Source organism: Homo sapiens, chromosome 4 (assembly GCF_000001405.40).
Source record: "Homo sapiens chromosome 4, GRCh38.p14 Primary Assembly".
Classification (NCBI taxonomy): Eukaryota; Metazoa; Chordata; class Mammalia; order Primates; family Hominidae; genus Homo; species Homo sapiens.
In genome coordinates, this window is record NC_000004.12 from 71338396 (window position 1) to 71360420 (window position 22025).

The 22025-nt window shown below is 36.7% G+C and overlaps 1 protein-coding gene across 10 annotated transcripts in view, besides 1 other annotated feature; it reads left to right on the forward strand.

Moving 5' to 3' along the window:
* The window catches only part of SLC4A4 (solute carrier family 4 member 4), a 509424-nt gene that overhangs the window by 275736 nt on the left and 211663 nt on the right, over positions 1 to 22025 (forward strand). For 8 of the 10 annotated variants that reach the window (XM_024454268.2, NM_001440628.1, NM_001134742.2 and 5 more), the window contains 3 exons: positions 975 to 1110; positions 11517 to 11677; positions 18613 to 18792. In XM_024454268.2, the coding sequence (XP_024310036.1) occupies positions 975 to 1110; positions 11517 to 11677; positions 18613 to 18792 (477 nt within the window). Of the gene's footprint in view, positions 1 to 624; positions 1111 to 11516; positions 11678 to 18612; positions 18793 to 22025 lie in introns of those variants that run through there. The other 2 variants (XM_017008792.2, NM_003759.4) reach the window with 2 other exon arrangements.
* Positions 858 to 927: an enhancer, noted in NCBI's record as "active region_21606". NCBI's record gives its function as "activates an Ori minimal core promoter by ATAC-STARR-seq in GM12878 lymphoblastoid cells {active_cell/tissue: GM12878}" and the evidence as "EXISTENCE:reporter gene assay evidence [ECO:0000049][PMID:35858748]".

Here is a 22025-nt window from a genome sequence, read left to right on the forward strand (position 1 = left end):
GAACTGCATTCACATGTATATAACATTGTTGGTTTTACCCAGGGATTTTGAGGAGTATTTGTGGGCCTTAAATTTGTAACATGACCATCAATTTCCAACTGCTTTTCTTTCTCTCTCTCTCTTTCTTTTCTTCTTCTTCTTCTTTCTTCTTTCGTCGTCTTCTTCTTCTTCTTTTTTTTTTTTTTGAAAGGGAGTAACCCATGACCTGGGGGAAATTCTAGTTAATTTTTCATTGCATGATTTTCAGGAGATAGGGTCAAAAGGAGCTAGTAGGGCATTCAATTATGTGCTTGAGTGTGTTGGAAAATGTTTTTTTTTTTTTTCTCTCTCCCTCAAGTGTACAATATTTTACTTGGGCTTGTTTTTCAAGTGCATTGAAGTGTGACTAAACATTTTTGGGTACTACCATTCTGTAAAGAAGAGGGCCCATCTTGTTAAATATTCCTTCATCAACTTTGCAGTTAGCCAGTTATTGGCAGGGAGAAGCCTGCGAGGGCATGAGCTTTAGGCATTGGACAGAGGGAGGGTGGGTGGGAGGCGGGGACTTGGGGGATCTCAGGATTGGGGTACTTTGTTGTCCCTCCCACTGCTGTATGAAAAAGTGACTGGTTCAAGCTGGCTTTTGTCTTATAATTTTGGATGAGTCATAAGTGGAGAAGGAGGGGAAGTGAGTGGTTAGACCTCAGCTCATCTGAGGGCTAAAGGTTCTTTGTGACACATCACACAGAATTGGAGTGCTGTCCTTCTGGAGAGTGGTGGAGAACCAAGATACAGTTCAGAACCAAAGGAATAGAGAAGGGCTTTGATTTCTTTTTGGCTTTAGATTGGGGATTTGGGAGGCTTAGCAGGAAAGATGTCCACTGAAAATGTGGAAGGGAAGCCCAGTAACCTTGGGGAGAGAGGAAGAGCCCGGAGCTCCACTTTCCTCAGGGTTGTCCAGCCAATGTTTAACCACAGTATTTTCACTTCTGCAGTCTCTCCTGCTGCAGAACGCATCCGATTCATCTTGGGAGAGGAGGATGACAGCCCAGCTCCCCCTCAGCTCTTCACGGAACTGGATGAGCTGCTGGCCGTGGATGGGCAGGAGATGGAGTGGAAGGAAACAGCCAGGTGAGGCATAGCTGACTGTATGTAGTACTGACCCAGGGAAACAAGGGCAGGGCAAGATGCTTGATCCTGGAGTGCCGTTCTTTAGCCTTAGCACTTTGAATGGCCAATGGGCATGATGTTGGCTGGGATAAGGAGTAAATAATTCTATTTCTTCTTTTCTTTTTTGTTGACATGAATGCAGGGCACCTCTTATTTCACTATTGGGGCATTGTTTCATTGATCCATGTTGCTATAATTTTGGCTTTTATAAGGAATTAGAAATAAAGCTCAATTTATATACTATTTAATAGTAAAATATTTTAGAGAGATAATAAACTCAGGTACCCAAAAATGACAGCCAAGAGATATGTTTCCACAGTGTCCACATGCCAAGATCTCTTGTGAGATTTTGTGTGACTTATTACTCATTCCCTGTCAAGAGGTGGGTTTTGGCCAGGTGCAGTGGCTTGTGCCTGTAATCACAGAATTTTAGTAGGCCGAGGCAGGTGGATTGCCTGAGCCTAGGGTTCAAGACCAGCCTGGGCAACATAATGGGACCCCATCTCTACAAAAAAAAAAAGAAAAAAAAATCAGCCGGGCATGGTGGTGCATGCCTGTGGTCCCAGCTACTCAGGAGGCTGAAGTAGGAGGCTCACTTGAGCCTGTGAGGTCGAGGCTGCAGTGATCTCTGATCATGTTACTGCACTTCAATCTGGGTGACAGATTGAAACCCTGCCTCAAAAAATTAAATGAAATAAAAAAGAGATTATTAAAACAATGAGGAAAGTTGCTCTTATGGTAGTCCCCCCAAGGTTATCCACAGTTTAGCTTTTCATGGTTTCGGTTACTCACTGTACAGTACAGTAAGATATTTTGAGAGAGTTGCCACACTTATATAACTGTTATTACAGTATATTGTTGTATTTATTCTATTTTATTATTAATTATTGTTGTTAGTCCCTTACTGTGCCTAATTTACAAATTAAACTTTATTACGTTTTATATACAGGAAAAAAACATAGTATACATAGGGTTTAGTACTATCCATGCCTTCAGGAATTCACTGGGGGTCTTGGAATGTATCCCCTGTGAATAAGGGGACTACTGTATTTCAAGTATAAACCTGTAATCTTTTAAATATCCAGCTGAAAGTAGAAGGTTCATCTGAGTTTGGAGTTTAGAGGCCCGAGTTTACTTTGACTCTGTTGCCTCTTAGTGACAAGACACTCGATTTCCTAGAGCTTTGGTCTCATTATCAATAAAGAGTGGATAATAATGCCTATTACATATTATATATGTATGGTATATAAAACATATATGTAAATATAGTATACAATGTATTTATAATGTCACATATATACATACATGTGTATATGTATATGTATGAAAATGCTTTGTAAATTGTTAAGCATTACACAAATACCTGGGGTTTCATTAATCTCATAACAGAGCTTTTCTTTTACATACAGATTCAGAGATATTCTCCAGGTGAATCTTCTGTGACATAAGGCAATTATGTAATACAAAGACTTTGATTATAATGCAGTTGTTGGTCTCTCATTGTCATCATTATGTGCTGATTCCAATGTATTTCACTTTCATAAACAAGATAATGTTAAGATAAACCTCTTATAGTCTGTAATTTAATTCCAATCAATTCAACTCAACCAGTGTTATTTGAATGAATAGTTTATGTCAGGCACTGTTTTAGGTACCATGAATATAGCAGTGAGCAAATGAGGATCTTACATAGATCTCTATCTTATTAAAAGGTTTGAAGTAAGTTTAATATAATACCTTACAATATGAGAATAAGGGAAACCAAATCATTATCCCAGCTTTGAGTTTAAGAAAAACAAAGCAAAGATAGATGAAAGTCTTCTTCTGTGGTTATAGATGGAAAAAGTATTTATGGCTGCTATTTTTTCTACATAGACTTAGAAAGAAATTCTAGAGTCAGAAAGAAAATATTTTTAAAAATCGCTTTAATCAATTAGAGCAGATGAGCTATAAAGGAGCAATAAGCCAATAGCCTTTCCCTTTATGGATGAAGAGTCTTTTAAGAGTTAGAGGAATAATTTTTATTTTCTGAGGCATACTTTAAAATTTCTTACATCATACCACTTGTAATCAAGTGTTTATGAAGTTAATTGGATTTTTTGTAGTTTAGTTACTTAGGCTTATGCTTTGTAGGCTTATGGATTTATTTTTATTTCCACAATTTTAAGTAATATTGAATGTCTTTAGCCCTTTGGGATTTTTAATACTGGAGAAGCTTCATAAATTAATTTATTTGATAATGGGGGAGAAGTTTTTATTCCTCACCAAGAGTTTCTAGGTAGCTTAGTCTTGCAGAAAAAACTGCTTTAAAAATGTTTAGAACTGATGGAGAATTTCTTATCTTTCATAACTTAAACAATGCCCAGAAAAAAAGTAATTCGGCTTTACTCCTAGCCCCAACAGTAGTATTAGGGAAAGAGACCTAATTTTTAAATACTTTATTTTCAATTTACTGGGTAATTCTCTTTCTAATAGACATCTACAGTGGGTGTGATTGTTTAACTCTTCTGTTTGATAGCTACTTAATATTTTCTTCTTCTAATTAAAAAAGCTTTCATAACACATTTCCACTCCTCATCTGTAATACTTTCTTTTGAAGCTTTTCATTCTTTGCTCTTTTGGGGCTTCCTCCCAGGATACATCAACTGTTTCTTGTTCCCCTCTCTCAGAACCAATAACCTGTATAGAAAAAAATCCTCTGTAAAGTAAAATTTTAGTTCCTAAAACATCCTCCAAAAGAAGGCTTCCAAAGCAAAAGCTTTTTACTAGTGAATCTGTTTCATTCTTTCTTTTCCTTCTTTCTGATAGAAAAATACAGTGTGAGAATTGTCCTGGTGCAGCCTGAAGTGTTGGGAGATTTTGGTCTAGTCTTGGCTTTGCTGCTCACTAGCTGTTTCACTTTGAGCAAGTCATGTAGTCTTTCTGAGCTTGAATTTCTTTTTTATCAGATGAAGGTCGTATTGAGTTGCCTCCTCCCTAACATTATATATATTTCATAGCTCTAAAATTTAATTCCTGTGTGTATACTGCTACACTCAGCTAAGACTACTTTGACTTTCTTATTTTCATCTTGAAGTTCTTTGTGAGTTGTTATCATAGAGTATAATTCAGGTGTAGTTTTCTGTTTTTCATTTCAGTCAAATGCAGACCATACGTTATTTTACATAATTCCTGGTCCCAGAAAGGTAGAGAGATTATAGTTCATTGTATAGGTAATTCAACATTGAATGATAGGAGCATAGGATTTTCACTCAAGATTTTTAAAGATTAAGATGGTTTTGAATACTTTACCATCCTTAGAGACGTTATTTCCTTGGGAGCACGTGTGCCATTTTGCTGATGTAGTCTGTCCCCAAGACACCCTACTGCTGGAGAGGAAGAGTGTTGGGAGTGTATCGTGTGTCACGTCCACGCTGTATAACTTCTCTTTATAGGGCTTACCGTAATTGCTGTCGATTAATTCATTATGTATGTGATATTATTGTTTTCATATGGTCTCCCTCATTACATTAATTTATCTGCAGAGAGACTACCATGTCTGTTCACTATCATATTTCTAGTTCCTGGCAGTGTCTGATTCATAATAGGCTCTTAATAAACATTTGTTTAATGTGTGATTGGTTGAGAACTGATTGCCTTCGACACAACTGTTCTGAATATAATACTTTCTTAGAAATATTAATTGACCAAATCAGGGTTCTGTATAATTATTCTCTTTCTGACTGATAAAAAGCTATGGAATGAAAGACCCAAGGTACCCAGAATGCCATTGATAAAGCTTAGAAGGGGACCTATGTTTAAAGTTTCAAACTATTTCATTAATATATTGATGATATCTGCATTTATAAAAGCACGGATATAATTCCTTATTTAATTGGAATCAACTAATCGGAGGGCTAATAGGATTCTCAAAATTGACATGTCTAAAACTGAACTTCAGATCTACTCTTCCTAAAGATTTCCTCTTCTCAATAGACAATTCCATTCTTTTAGTTCTTGAGCCAGAAACATTGGAGTCTTCCTTGATTCCTGTCTTTCTCTACACCCAATATCTGACCAATTGGTAAATTCTGTTTTACCTTTAAAGATATTCACATATTCAGAGATTTCACTACATCTCACATTCAGTACTACTACAACTCTAGTTCATCCCATCATTTCTCACTGAGATTGCTGCAGATGGCTCCTAATTAGTTGATCTCTTTTCATCTGCTCTTACTTCCTTTATGAATTATCTGCCATCATCTCTTTGACCTTGTCTTCCTTTTCATTTCCTCTGCTTCACTCTGCTTGAGCCTCACTGGCCAGTCATGCTAATCTGTCAGGAACTTTGGACTTGTTGTTCCCTCTGTCTGAAATGTTCTGTCTTCCCTGAACCCCCACAGTTATCTGCGTGGCCCATGTCCTCATCTCCTTCAGGTCTTTATTCAAATATTACCTGCTTAGTGGTTGTCCTATCTATAATTGAAACCTTCCCCCAATGCTTCCTATCCCTCATCTTTCATTATTTTTGTCCTTAGCACCTGTCATCATTTAGCATACCATATATCTTGTTATTGTCTCTTCCCAATAGAATTAAAGCTCTGTGAGGGCAGAAATTTTCAGTTGTTTTGCCACTGTATTCCTAGTGCCTGAAACTACCTGGCACACAGGTCATGCTCAACAAAGACTGGTTAATAGAATCAATGAATAGAGAAATAGAACCTTGATTCTTGGTTTGCTGCTCCACCTACATTCTTTGGAGAGGCGTGGAGTGAATATGCTTCTGGAAATATTCAGCTTTTCAGTAACCTTTACTATCTGGGACATACCCTGCTGTCAGAATGTTTTTGCAGTAATTTTTGACTCCCATTTGTGATGTCTAGTTTCCAGATATGATAGTTTTTTCCCCCCATTAAAAGCCCTCAGACCTACCAGACTAATAAAAGTTTAATGCTTAGAAGGAATCCATTTTACATATGAAGATGTGACATGAATCTTTTTCTGGCCAACTTATAAATTGATAATATTTTGATTTTCTGTGAAAGTCGCAATTGATAGCCTATTTTATTTCATAGAGAGCTAACTCTCCAGACTTCTCCAGCTCCATGTAGGTTCTGTTATAAATCTACAGCCCACAGAACTCAATATCATCCTTCTTTCTCTTTTAAGACCTATACTTTTCAGTTGGCTAATGATTTCTTACATATTATTGAGATGGCTAATGATTTCCTACACATTATTGAGATGAGGAAATCTGTAGGCAGAGTAGATCTGAAGTTCAGTTTAGGATATTCTTGTAGGATCAGGATAATAATGCATCAGCATTATTATGGCTGTAGTACTACTTCAGGAATTTCAGGTTGGCCCTGTGCCTAAAAAAATGAGAATTGTTTCAATAATAGGGGGAGATGTCCCCTTTTAAGTCATGGAAAGCACAGTAGTTATACTATGAACAAGATTAAGTATTTATTTATATGAAGTTTAAAGTAACTCTCAACTCTATCACCATCCCTTTTACGTCCTTTACCTGTTCTTCCCTTTCCTAAAAGTTAGAACTTTGAATTTTCAGTGGTTCTTCCAAAATAGAGCACAAGTTGAATATGGTAAAAAGGGTAGACTTATCAGACCTGAAAAATCGTTTGGAATTGGTGAAGAAGCCTGTGCTTCCATTAAGAATGTCTAGGTGACTAGGTGTCAGCTAATGGGTTCATAAAGCAAACTGGTAAAAGAATAATTCATGATCCAAGTTTGATGATGGCCCAAAGTCAGGAGAAAGGGACTTTTTTTTTCCCTGCCCAAATTCTTTATTCATTTGAGTAGGGATATCTCTGCAAAAATGATTATTAGCTGTCAGTTTCTCTTCAGTGAATTTTCAGATGGACAGTGCTGGACTTAACCACTGTTGTATGAATGTTTGTTAAAGATAACTCCCCCAGCGTAATTCAAACTGTGCTGCCAAACTTGGGTATAAAGGAAAGCCATCACAAGTTTCAACAAACACAAGCCAACAAAGGAAAGGGGTATTGATGTTTTACTTCCAACTGGACACCACAAATGTACACCCACTTGTGTTTCTGCTTGGCAGATTTACTTCAGGTAAATCTGAAGTACCTGATTTAAGGGCATGGCCATTAAGCACCAACATGTGCACTTATACTGTGGGTTTGGGCAAAGACTGCTCTCTCCCAGTCTACACTGACTTCTCTGTCTTTTCTCTACTGAATTACTTTGGGAAATTCTATTTCAGGCCAAGTTAATTTTTCTGTAAGAAAAAGACTCAAGGAATTTAATCATCTATGTAATCATATATAGTTATGTCCATGTAGTTGTGTACAATAACTTTAATAGTGGATCTAGAATTTTAAGAATTCTCCTTAAAAACCTCATTTTTCCCAGGTACACACTAACGTTGGCTTCTTTTAGGGTGATAAGGCACTTGTTAGTTAGCAAGACATTTATCATCATTTCAATAGTTGTACGTAGTTGGAATTTATTTAGTGTAAAGGTCATGTCTGTTTTCCACTGTACAACTGATATGTTATTAAGTTAGAGGTCTTTTTTTTTCTTAATTATATTTAATCATATGATTGGAAAGTTGCAAAATTCAGTGATTCCCAGTGGGTCTTTTTTTTCTTCAACAAACGAATGAAATGTTGTTTGTTTGGCAGTCACTGAAAATGTCTTAAACTGCAAAGTATTTTATCATTATTCTTCTAAGACCTTGGAATAAACTTCACCTAATAAACCCCTCCTCCAAGGTTAAAACGGTTTTGTAATTGCAAGTATTTAAAAAGCCTGCTTCTGAAACAAATTTTTCTGTAACATGTCAAGTACTGAAGCAAAAAGAAAGTGGGAAACTTATTGCAAATATGTAGTTATTCATAGTTATTATGAAGGGGAGATAGTGGCTTTTAGTATACTATTGCAAATATGTAGTTATTCATAGTTATTATGAAGGGGAGATAGTGGCTTTTAGTATACTCTACAGTAAAAAGTCTGTTTTTTTTTTTTAAACGTAATTGCATGGTTCTAAAGCACCTTTGCAGATTCATTGGCACTTGAATAGGGTGAACTTTGGTACTTTTGCCTTAGCCTTTTCTTTAATGGGCTCTGATTTGAACTGAGTAGTTTTCAGTTTTTGTTTTTATTTTCCAAATCCAAATTTGTCCTTGATATGCGAGGAGGCTAGACAAAGCATGTGCCATTTCTGGAATGAAACTACCTGAAAATGATCTGTTTAAATGGGAAAGCCAGTAGTTTATGTCCAAATGCATTTGTTGGAAGTATAATCAGTTCCTTAAACAATTAGAGCAATACATTTTAAAGCAATTTAATAGGCATTTTTCCAGAGTTCTCCTTATGCTGTAAGCTGTGCTGTAATATGACATCATCAAAATATTCAATATTTACTGAACTTAAAGTAAAATAAATGCTAAACTGAGCTATGAGATAATATTTATCCCTTATAAATATAGATTTTAAGAAACTGGCTAGTTTTGAGAATTTATATTTCCATTCCTTTATGGTTAAATCTTGACCTAAAGAGCTGGTGTAATCCAGAAGGGTGAGTAATACTATTTCATAAATCCACCCTAGTTTGGATTTATGTTTTGCAAATGCACTTTTTAAATGTATTCAAAGTCATATTTAAGTCTAACCAGGTTGCCTACAATATAAACTATGGAGAGGAATAAATAAAAGATGGACCACAAAGAACTGCAGTGGTTTTGCTTCTTTTTCTTTTTAGATAAAATCTTATTAAACTTATATTATTTGGACAGTTGAGGATTGTCTGAGCCTATTCAGGCTGCTATAACAAAATACCATAGACTGGGTAGCTTACAGACAACAGAAATTTAGTTCTTATAGTTCTGGAGGCTGGGAGGTCCAAGATCAAGACATTGTCAGATTCAGTGTCTGGTGAGAGCCTGCTTTCTCACACATGGCACCATATCATTGTGTCTTTACGTGGTGGAAGGGGCTAGATAGCTGTCTGGGGACTCTTTTATAAAGTCATTAATCCATCTAATCACCTCCCAAAGGGCCCATCTCCTTATACCATTCCCTTGGGGGATAGGATTTCAATATATGAATTTTGTGGGGACATAGACATTCAGACCATAGAGAGGATGATGGCAGAAAAGAACTACTGTATATAAGTGAGGCTTAGTTTTTTTTTAAGTAATAGAATTGGCAGTACAGGCTGTTGGCAGCTGATAGAAGTGGGGGCTCATTTAGGAAAGATAAGAAGGAAGTAAAGGCCTTGTAAAACACTCCCCTTTACAGGGCTTCTAGCTGCCCTGTGTCATTCATCTTGGGCTTAAATTCTATGACCAAATATTCTATCCCTCAGAAAATAAGCATACTCTTAGGAATTCAAGAGAAATCAAGGAGTCATTACACTCTTTATAGATAGATGACATAATTCTAGATAACTCTGACTTGCTTTCATATATGATGATATCTTCCTTTTTCTAGAGTCTTATCTTGAGCAATAAATTATAGCATCATATATAAATATGATTCATATGCCTATTACCAACAAACATGCTTAGCGATTCTATGAGCAAGCATGAAAAGATGATATACCTAAAGTTAACCAATGTAACATTCTCCATCAAAAATAAATTAGTTTCAAAATAACTCTAATCACCTTATTACCTTTTACAGTTTTGGTTAAACCCATAGAATTCTTTGAGTGTGATATAAAATTGTCGTTTTTTTTCTCCCAGTTCCTTTTATTTCTGTGGTCTAACTTGAATCAAAGTGAAGAAATACTAATTTAGTCACACACACACACACACACACACACACACACACACACACACTAGAAGTCTTTCATTCTGTTTTGGAATGTGTCACAGCTACTTTTGTAGAAATAAACCAAGTCCAGTTCTGAAGTTTCAGAACTTCTTTGGTGCTATCGTTGACTTTTTAACCATGAGGTAAACAGTAAAAATCTCCCTTCCTGCATTTTTGGGGAGGATACAGGGAGAAGAAGGAGGGTCTTAGAATTGTGGGTAAGGTTGATACAAGGTTACCACTAACATGGGAGTTGCCTGGCTGTGAGAGCCTTCCTGAGAGGCACATGGAGGGGAAAGTCTTTAGATACGGCTAAAATACTTCTGAAACATATGGGTGCTGGGCTTGATTAACATTCTAAATTTTCTTTGACATTGTGGGCTGATCGCTTGATCTATTTTCACTCCTGGTCTACTAATGTGTTTTTTTTTCCCCTCCTCTGGGGGTGGTAAGAGGTCTATAAATAATACCCTATGTAGAGCTTCCTCTGATCTCTGCCCTTTGTTCTCATCTTTAGTGAGTTAGGTGAGCGTTTAGCTTTCTCTAGGAAAACATTTTTCAATCATTAAGCCTTTGGGTGAAGAATGTAGAAAAACAATTTTTATTCCATCTTTATCTCTTTCAATATCTCTCAGAAGGTTTAAAGTGAAAGAAGCCTTTTTGTTAGTATCATGATGAATAGCAAAACGATGTTGCTTTCCCATTTTCCTTTAACAGTGTAGGAAGTGTCTGTGTAATATGTGGGATATAAAGTCTGTCAAATGTGTTTTGCTCTCATTTCCATTAAGGTTTTTTATTGCTATATATTGCTAAGTTATCAAAATGTCTAGGAGTCTTAGAAAGCAGAAGCTAGAAAAGAGGGTTGTTCCATCGCTAAGGTTAATAGGATATCTCATATTATCAGAATAATCTGTTGTTCACCGAGCTTGTGTGTATTTAAACACACATGGAACCAGACTTGAAGGGTAAAGCTTTTAAAATCACAATAAGAGGGGAATATGCATCAGCTGAGATATGTATATTAAAGGAAGACACAACAAAACGTGCCGGTCTTCCTTAAGCATCAATAAAACGAAATTTTACATTCATCTTGCCACTTCACGCATCATGTTTTTTATGTCTGCGATAAATATTGGTTCATCACTGATATTTCACCTTATTTAAACTTGCCTCATGAAATCACAACAGAATCCTCACAGTGGTGGCTATTTTTATGCACTGTAGGCTGTACCCACATGGAGAATTTTGAAATGCATATTTTTCTACCTTATTAAAAAATTTAGTTAAATAATTGGTCTTAAGGATCTCATGGTTACATATAGGCAGATATAAAACCAAGGATGCTTTGGCTTCTCTTGCTTGGCTTTTTTCTTCTCTAACTTCAGGGGAAGGAGCAGTCTAGTGCTTCTCTTTGGGTGTGTTTATGAAGATTATGTAATTAATGATCTAATAAGCTATTAATACTCCACAAAAAGAGACATTTTGGAAGTGCTGGAAGGGGTGAAGATGGAGGGGTTGAGACTGCTATTTCTAGAGGAAGTTAGAACACTTTTAATTGCTCTTCACTAATCTCATCTTCCTAGGTGGATCAAGTTTGAAGAAAAAGTGGAACAGGGTGGGGAAAGATGGAGCAAGCCCCATGTGGCCACATTGTCCCTTCATAGTTTATTTGAGCTGAGGACATGTATGGAGAAAGGATCCATCATGCTTGATCGGGAGGCTTCTTCTCTCCCACAGTTGGTGGGTAAGTATGCTGTTTGAATTTTATCCTATTTTTTTCGGCTTTCCCTAGCCACATGTCTCCATCAAGGCAGATGACTAGTACTGTAAGCAGAGTTAAATGTTTTATAACATTTATTCTCTCTTTTTGCATTATAACATTAGTATGATTTATTGCAAGAAAATCTGAAAAATACACAAATATTAAGAAAATAGAAAACTATCTTCCATAACATCTTCCTCTGGTCATTGTTGGCATTTTGGAATATTTCCTTCTAGCTTTGCTTCTCAATCCTTTCCCTATGTTTTTGATTTTTTTTATTTTATTTTATTATTATTATTATTTTTGAGACAGAGTCTCACTCTGTTGCCCAGGCTGGAGTGCAGTGGCGCGATCTCAGCTCACTGCAACCTCTGCCTCCTGGGTTCAAGCGATTCTCCTGCTTCAGCCTCCCGAGTAGCTGGGATTACAGGTACCTGCCACTTGTACCTTATGTACTTCAGATGCATGAAAAGTGTGGGGCTTCTTTGCAAATCTAACTAACAAGCTCTCCGAAAAAGAACCAAGTATATGTACATCAGCCAGACATATGCCTCACTTGACAGCTAATCTATTTCTTCCAACACAAATGCTGCAGCATTCATATTATCTATAATGTAAAGAAATGGATGTCATAGATAAGCCTTTTGTCTACAGATATACAAAGAAACTTTGCAGTAAGTCTAAAATTAGACAAGAATGTTACACTGGTCACCTTCTGCAGGTCTTTGATCCACATCTTCTTCCCCATAATCCCAGGGTAGGCACACTGCAGACCCCTTGGAAAAGTGCAGCCATCCCTACAGGTCCAGTGCTCACCTGGTTATGGAATTTCCTAGGAATAAGAAGTGGAGCCCCTGCACTTCTTTTTAAGAAAAAACATGATCTTTGGCACACCTAGATCTGAAGGATAATACGGCAGTTTAGGCCAAGCTACTGATAGAAAATGGAAACAATGGCTCCAGTTTGGAATGCAGTGGTGTGTGCCCAAGGTGTTCAGCATGATGAGTTAGCATTCAACGCACAAAGTACTAACTACAAAGGAAGCCAAAGCTGCCCTGCACCATGAGGTTCAGTGACTTTGATGGTGGTGATACAAATGATGCTTGACACCAATGTGACCTGACTCAATCACTTACCCGTAATGTCTTGCTGGATCCCTGTCCCACCCAGCCTTTCTTCACATGCAGCTAAAGGGGCTTGACTTCTGCCTACAATCAACCCTAACCCAGGAACTAGACTACTTCTCTTCTTACAGATGATTTAAGTCCTACTTTACAGATGATGAAACTGAGGTCCAGAGAAACTCAGTGCAAGTCTAAGATCAAAGAATTCTAGAAATCTAGTGTCTGGACTTCCAGTCCAATATAACCAAGGATGGATGAATAAAGAGACTCCATTTATAATGTTAATCTTATGCTAATAAGTGAAAGTGAATGTAAATCTGTGCATACAGAATGAAAAATAACTAAAAAGGAAAAGTATCGCTGGGCGTGGTGGCTCATGCCTGTAATCCCAGCACTTTTGGAGGCCGAGGTGGGTGGATCATTTGAGGTCAGGAGTTCGAGACCAGTCTGGCCAACATGGTGAAACCCCACTCCTGCCTCTACTAAAAATACAAGTGGAGAAGGGAGAGGACTTATGTAAAGATGCTGGATGGACAGAAATAATTATTTTATACATTTATTCAGCAGTAGTACATGGGCTTCTACAATGTGCCAGACACTGTTCTAGGCCCTGAAATCAGGGTTTGTAAATCTACCACTTTGTAAATGAGACAAGGTACATGTCAACATAGGTACAAATCTGCATTTGTAGTTAGAAAATAATGGAGGAAACAATTTTATATAGCATTTTTCATATTGAACAAGGCAGGTGAAGCTGAAAATGGAAATCTGATATATGAGAAGAGATCTTGGATTATGGTACCCAGGGAGATCGGAACCCATCTACAAAAACAGAAGCAAGCAGAAAGAATTATTTTCTGGGCCATCTGTTCCATTGTCTTTTTTCATTCATTAAAAGCTGCAAGAAAGATTGTTATCCAGAAAAGTATAATGATTGGCAACAATCAATCCAGTTTTTGAGTGAAAATTGTAATTTCTGCATTCTCAGACCTTAAGAACTAACCTGGAGCAAAGATGTCAAAAATTACACAAGTTGAAAATAAATCAAATGTGCATAAATGTAGGGCAAACTGGAGAAGAAAATCATGACTTGGCAGAGTATAGGCAGTCTAGGAGGAGAATAAGGGTCACCAGGAAGAGTCCCTTATTAAAAAAAACACAATTTTTTACCATAGATGATCATTACTGCCTAAATTTTCCCCACTTAGGGTTTCATGCCACTGTGCTCAGGGTTTGTCCTCTATTAAAATATACTTACTCTATGGGAAGATGTCATATATTAATTCCCGTGAGATACAGAGTGATGTTGAAGAAGGAATGCTGGATTTAATGTTGGGGAGTTTTAATTAAAGTCTAGCCCTATTAGCATGTATGACCATGGGCAAGGCCAGTTACTGAACTCTTTTGGAGTCTTCATTCCCTCATCTATAAAAAGAAGATGAAGGTGGACCTTTCAGGGTTGTTATGAGCATTAAATAAGATCATCAGATGTATTTGCTGTCTACTTACATGTCTATCCCAGTATGAATAGTTTATCCAGATATTTCTGCATGTCACCTAGCAGAGTGTAGAGAAATGAGTCAGATAGAGAGACACTCAGTGACTTCATGAACGGGAGACAAGATTCCAAATGGTATGGTAGACAGAGCTGGAAACAGTTGAACAGCATCCCTGCTGTGCTTGGAACTGATCAGCAAGGGTGATGAAAGTTAAAAGTTGAATTACACACTTGGATGTTGCTGTAAAACTGTCTTTGGGATCTTCATCACCAGGAAGAGCCATCTTAAGGAGCTTCTGGTCTTCAGCAACTAACTGACCGTTTTCATGTTGTAGAAGAGAGAGTACCAGATTATACTGGAACGTCTTTAGCGAATGGCCAAAGAGAGAAGGTTTTGGTACTTACTACATATAAGAGAGGTTAGCCAAGCATTTTGTGGTTTCTCTTCAATTTTTCGTTACTTTTTATTATCAGCTGTGAACTTTTTCTCTAACCTCCATGCATTTACTTTAAAAATTGTCATTACATGTTAAAATTTGACACTACTATGTCACTTTGAGGTATCATCACTCACTAATATGTTTGCTCTGCAGTTCCTGGGGCAAGCAGTCAGAGAGCCAGTGCTGTCATTCTGGAGCTGATAATACAGAAAAACAGTTCAGGGACAAATAACACATCATAAGTAAAACAAAGAGGAGGAAAAGGGCCAGATTTCCAGAAGTGGGGAGAAGAGCATGTTTGAAAGAGTGTCACTAGCTAAAAAACATCTTAATCCTCTGAACTAATCAAAACCCTACAGAGGATAAAACATGAACGAAACAGAGCCCTTATTTCATCTAAATGACAGACAATGGCACAGTAACTTGAGAAGTTATAGTCGTTATTTGTTTTTTAAAAAATCCTTTTGTAGCAGTGGGTGAGGTGGAGTTGTTTTGTCCCAAATCATGCTGATACTTCTGAGTTGAGAATTATGCACAGCTAAATCTTAAGATGCATCTCCCCCCGCACCCCAATTTTATATCAACAAATGAGAAGAAAAAGAAATAATAGCAAGCATGATTATATCAAACAAACAATAGCTGCTTTTCATCTTCCTTTGCAGTCCACCTGCTACCCCTCACCAGCCTGCCTCTGAGAGGCATCTCACCCTGCAGGCTCAAAGACAGCGCCACACCATGTGAGGGCCCTGCACCATGATGCGCGACTGTTTAAGCAGGTGTTACTTCTCACACTTACATAAAAAATTCAGCCTATTTTTGATTCTTCTCAGGATTTCTACTTGATTTTTTCACGAAGAACCCCTTCTGAATGTTAATAGAAAAATTTATCTTTAAAGTATTATAAAGGATAAAACATCATTTTCACAGATTATTTTAATAGCTTTATTATTAGTATCCTCATTGTAATTCTACGTTTAAAGAGTGTCATTCACGTATGAAGCCGAGTCTATGGGAATTTTCCTCCCCTTTTAAGTTAAAAAAATTATAAGCCATTTCAGGTATTTTACCATGATGGGAAGTGAATTGGGAAAATGTAGCTCTATTTTTGGAGTCTCATTTTTATATTTAAAGGCATTCCTGAGCTGTGCATGTTGGCAGATGTATTGGTCCTATTGTTTCTTACTTTTTATAACTTTTACATTTTCAAAATGGCAATAACTTTTTTTCTAGTCACAAAACTAATGCATGTTCATTTTTAAATAACCCGGAACATATTACAGAGCTTTTGTAATTCCTAGTCAATACTGCAACATTGTCATCAGAAATGGAATTGCCCATTGAATACCTTTCACATCATGGGGGTTGATTCAATAAGAAACATATATTATCTTAGTTAATCTTGAAGTTGAATATTTATTTATATATTTTTGGCCCTTTATATTTCTTTTAGGAATGTTTGTGATCTTTGTCCATTCTTCTGTCACATGGCCATCATTCTCTTGGTTTGCAAAAGCTCTGCGTATATCAATTATTTGTTTCTCTAGAGCTTAGTTTTTAAATAAAGAAAAATATTGTGTGACATGGGGAAAGATCTAAACTTAGAGTCAGAAAACCTGGTTTTATATGGGAGTTTTGCCTCTAATCAGTCCATGTCTGTGGGCAAGTCAGTCTGTGGCCCTGTGTTCTCATCTGCATAGCAAGAGGTTGAACTTGATGCTCCATGAAGTTCCTTTCAGCTCTGCTATCATCTAGTGTTGGCACATTCTCTCCCAATTGGTAGTGTCTGTGGGATTTTGAACACCGAAGGCTTAATTTCAGTGTAGCTGTGAAATGTTACTGCCCCCACTTTCCTTTGAAGGATTTTGTCGTTTATACTTAAAGAGATCCCTATAATGTTGGCCGTTTTAATGGAAACTTAATGAAGGGCATAAAGCCACACAGATGTTTTAACCTGTTCTAACTGGTGATTTCCAGGCATTAGTAACAGAGGACTGGCTGTGCATACATAAAGATTGGTTTGAGATTTCAAGGGAGGGTGAGAATAGAGGGAGGCCCTGCCAGGAAGGGTAGATAAGAAACACTTTAGTCTACAACCCTGAAATTAGAGTAGGAGTTTGATAACACTCATAGCAGACATGGTGGGACTGTTTGTTTGTTTTTCTGGTTCTTCTGTAAAATGGACTTTCCACTTTAAAAGGACTTAAAGGAAAAGTAGAGGGGTTGTGTTTTGTAGGCACCTAATTATTTACTGTGGAAGAGAGGTTTAATTGTAATTACAGGATCAATTCTGATAGTTTTGCTGAGTGGGGTTTGTGTAGTTTAAAATACTCAGAGCTAAAAACCACTCTAAACCAAAACATTTCTATGGGAGAAACTCTTCCTGCCTTGCCCAGACTCCCTACCAAGTGGTCCCATGTTATGTGACAGTTATGGCACCTCTGTGAGGCATGTGATGGAAAATCCTGGATTCAGCCTCTGCTTGGCTTCCAAACAGTTGATAGTACATTGTGTAAATTGCCAGTTTCTAGCTATAGGCTGTGAGGCCAATTCTGTGAGTGTTTAGAAGATGGACTTTTGAGAAATTCAGTCATGCCCAAGCAAAACCCGTTGAACATCTGTAACTTCTCTTTACAAAGAAGTGGGAATCCTTGGGAGATGCTGTTATCCTACCAGTACCCATCAATTTTCTTGCCGGCTTTTGGAAAAGAATAGTTATTGTTCGTTTCTTTACATTTATATACTAAAGTTTGCCCAAGTGGAAAATATCAGTGTGTGCTAGATGCATCCATGTACCAGAAAGGGAGCCATGGGATCCATTACTCACATTCTGTGCAGAGGACAAAAGGTCTACTTGCATACCTTGAGACAGACTCCTACCAATGCATATCTTGCACAGATTCTGTAATGTTTTGTCCTCAGCCCCATTCTGGATGGAGATAAATGTTGGCCTGTCATGTAGATGTAGAGTAGAATGTACCAGGCTTCATTTATGCTATACTGCTGACATGCTGACTTGTGAGAAAGAGGGTTTCTTATTTTCTATTGGCATAAGAACTTACCTTCCAGCAGAGTGACCTATGAGCAATTTCTATGAAACACAGTCATCTTTCTGGTTAAAATCATACTAAAAAAAGAGTAATAGAAACTTTACTTTTTTTTTGGTAGTAAGACTAAGATATTAAAGTTTCATTAAAAATTTCAGTCAGTTTATACTTTAAAATGCCCAATGGAAATATACTGGAAAGTCTTCAGTTGGATCTGAACAATAAGAATAAGCCTCCTTTCTTAGAAAAGACTACAACATAATTTTGTAGTTTAATCTTTCTTTCATTGGATTAACTGGTGTTCAGATGACCTGATATTAAATACTGTTTCCCTTGACTGTATTCTATTATTAAGTACGTATAACATCACAGAAGAATTTGGGAAAATAGATTTTAAAAATCAACAATCTCATTACTTTTAATTTTCTATACTCTTTTTAAGTTTTTAAATATCATTTATATTTCTGATATACATTTGCTATGAGTACATGAACTTTTTGACTCTTCCCCTTTTAATTGAAAAATATAAATTACTGACTTATTGTGTTACAGGATAATCTGACTTATGTGAATACATCATATCTGGGCCTGAAAAAACATAAAATGAATACTCTAATATTTGTATCTCTCTCATCAATGCCCATATCTGTGTACCCTGTGTCTTTATCTTTTACATAAAATGGGAAATTAGAAATTTAGAAAACAATATCTTGCTATTAAATTTGAGGGTGACATCCATAAAGTTAGAGTAAAAAAATAACTTTGTGGTCTTGTGACTGAGTTTTGTTTTTTGCTTTTGTTTTTGTACCAGAGATGATTGTTGACCATCAGATTGAGACAGGCCTATTGAAACCTGAACTTAAGGATAAGGTGACCTATACTTTGCTCCGGAAGCACCGGCATCAAACCAAGAAATCCAACCTTCGGTCCCTGGCTGACATTGGGAAGACAGTCTCCAGTGCAAGTAGGATGTTTACCAACCCTGATAATGGTAATGCAGAGGCCAGCTGGCTGCTGCTTTCTCTTACTTATTTCACTCACCTTTACACCGTCTCCTGTCATCTTTGTTTTAACCCTTCTCCATATTTTTTCTTTTCTTGAGTTCATATGCCATAGTCATTTCATATTGACATTTTTAATCCAGTTGGACAGGTTTGCAGTCTTGCTGGAAAGATTTCCACAATTGTTGTAGGCTGCTAATGCCACGGTGACTTGCTTACTCCATATACATCTATTCTGATTGATGGAGGTGGTTTAGTAGTAACTCTATGATGAAACAATTGAATATTATAGATGAGTCAGCAGATTCGTAGATTATTGAGTACCTCTGTGAATATGTTTTCCAGCATGTTTGCCAGAATTAGGAGGAGAATAGTAAGATATGATAAATGCCTTGAAATCTCCTATCACAAAGTGTTTGCTTAGTATGTGAAATGGTGTCCAGTCTATATAAATGATGACTTCATCAAACTAAGCCTCCATATTATTTTTTACCTCTAATAAAACCAATCTGCTTTCTGATATAGGATAATGATAGATCCAAGAATAATTATTCAAGATGGGATATTAACCCCATTATTTAACAATAAGTAAGGCACTGTATCCTATCTGTAGTTTATTGATTTACCAGAGTTTCCTGTAGAGTGTCTATCTTTTGTATCATGGCGTTTGTTTCAAATAAATTTCATGATTGGGAGCAATCTGAGAAGGGAGAGGTCAGTTTCCATGAGGTATGGAAAATGAAGGTATGAAGGAAAGAACTACTAAGCATTGGCTGATAGGATTAGGTCTATCCTCCCATCCCACCCCCAGGCTTTTTAGTGTTAAGAGAGATGAGGCCGGGCGCGGTGGCTCATGCCTGTAATCCCAGAACTTTGGGAGGCCGAGGCGGGTGGATCACGAGGTCAGGAGATGGAGACCATCCTGGCTAACATGGCGAAACCCCATCTCTACTAAAAAATTACAGAAAATTACCTGGGTGTGGTGGCACGCACCTTTGTCCCAGCTACTTGGGAGGGTGAGGCCAGAGAAAAGCTTAAACCCGGGAGGGGGAGGTTGCAGTGAGCCAAGATCACGCCACTGCACTCCAGCCTGGGCTACAGAGCGAGACTCCGTCTGAAAAAAAAAAAAAAAGAGAGAGAGAGATGAGTAGATAAGGGAGATTCTAATTCATTGCCCTCAGCTGCACTTTCAGAATAACATAAAACCGGTTGTCATGGAAAAAGGTGGAGTAACTGAATTGCAACTCAGCCACTGCATTTCTGGAAATGAGTTTTCTCTTAGTATTAAAGGTAACTGTTGGCTGGAAAAACACTACAAGCAGATTTTCTGTGGTATATTTTTTAGGCAAAACTGGTTATGTGCAAATAATTTAAATAAAATGCTTTTTATTAACAAAAATCACAAAAGAGAATTGAATCTGCAGTATTTCTACTACAGTTTGATGGTTCTACTGTTACCTAGAATATTGCTGCTGATGGGAAATATTTTGGTTTTTATGTCTCCCCTGGCTTTTTTTTTGTTGTTTTAGTTGTGTTTTTGGAAAGAGGGGTTACTTAATGGCTAGAAAGTTATAGAATGAGTAGTTTATTATAACTGATGTCACAAATATTTTATTTAACAATTTATATTTTTGAAATTATGGCAATTAAAGTTGAAGCTACTCTTTTATTTCTTATTTAATAATCCACTTTCTTATGTAAGATGAAATCCCAATATTTGCTGATTTAATTCGTTTATCATGGGGTTGGGGGAAGTATAAAGAAGTGAAAAAGTGCATTGTTTTCAAATACTGCTATATTTTCAAAAAGAAGTGGAATGAATATGGCATGCAGGAGGCTTTCTACCAATATGATGAGCTTCATTTCCATGGAACTGCAGGCAGAGTAGAAATTAGGAACAGATGGATCTTGGCGGCCAGAATCTTGTGCTTTAGGAGAAAGTATTTGGATATGGAATACAACTAATGAGTTAATATCGCTCGCCATTCAATCTTTCATCCTATCTGTAGATCTCTGTACTTGAGAGAAAAGTTGAAATTGCCTTTGCCATCCATCTTTTCACTTGTGAAATGTTATATATGCTGGGCAGAAAGCAAATAGGAAGGGTATGCAGTTCTTTTCCAGCTCTTCAGCTGATCAGCTTACACTCTGAAGTGTGGAATATGATTAGACCTTTTTAAACATGTTGTTATTTGCCTTAATGCTACCTAACTTCTTTTAAATATCCAGAGGCAAGATTTAGCTTTGAGAGATCCTTTAGCAATGAATTTTGTATGCCTTCAAGGTACATTCTTATAAATCATCAAATGGCAAATTTTTGGCTTTCTAGAGGTGCTCGTTATTAACTGGAAAGTTTGCGTAGTTACCTTTATATCTTAGGGTTTAATTACTTAATATCTTTAAAAAACTATGAAATGTTCTCTTAGAATAAATTTCTAAACAAACGTTCTTAGAATAAATTTCTAACTAAAATTTCTAATAAATGGAATGTTCTTAGTTTAAATTTCTATATAAAAATTATAGAATTACTGTAGGTAGAATTATTCCTACAGTTTTAATAGACCACAATCTTTCAGTCTGTTGTAGTTGGAGCTAGATTCTAATATCTCCATGTAAAGCTTAGATAAATTTGTATACCTTTGTCTTTAATCATAGGCTACAAAATAGATTCAGTGACACTGCCAGCTTTAGTTATAGCTAGCAACAATGTAATAAATAACTGAAATTTATAGAGATAACTTCAAAGTTGTGAATTTTTTCATTTCATGGTAGTGTACTGGAGTCAGCTCTAATCTGCTCGGGAGAGCCAGTTGATATCAGGGATTTGCAAGCTGGTTGTTAAATACAGCTACTATTAAAAATTAAGTTATATAAACATACAATTTAATAATTATATTAAAACAAAGATAACGAATACTGAAAATTTATTGCTTTCTGCCTGTTTCACTACATTTTACTGTAGTCTGTGCTCTTAAGGTTATTTGTATCTACTGTGTCTGTATGGTGGTAGAAATACTGTTAAATAGTGTGCCGTTGTGCATCTCTTCCCTCAGTGACTATACTGGTACCTTGAAATGGGCTGTTATGGTAGTATTTACCCCATAGAAACCAGCAAATGCTATAAATCAGGGCTTGATTTTTAAATTTTTTTTTTTGACCATTTGTCTCTAGGCTTAAAGAAGTGATGGAGAAAATGCTAATAATGTAGATTACATTTAAAAGT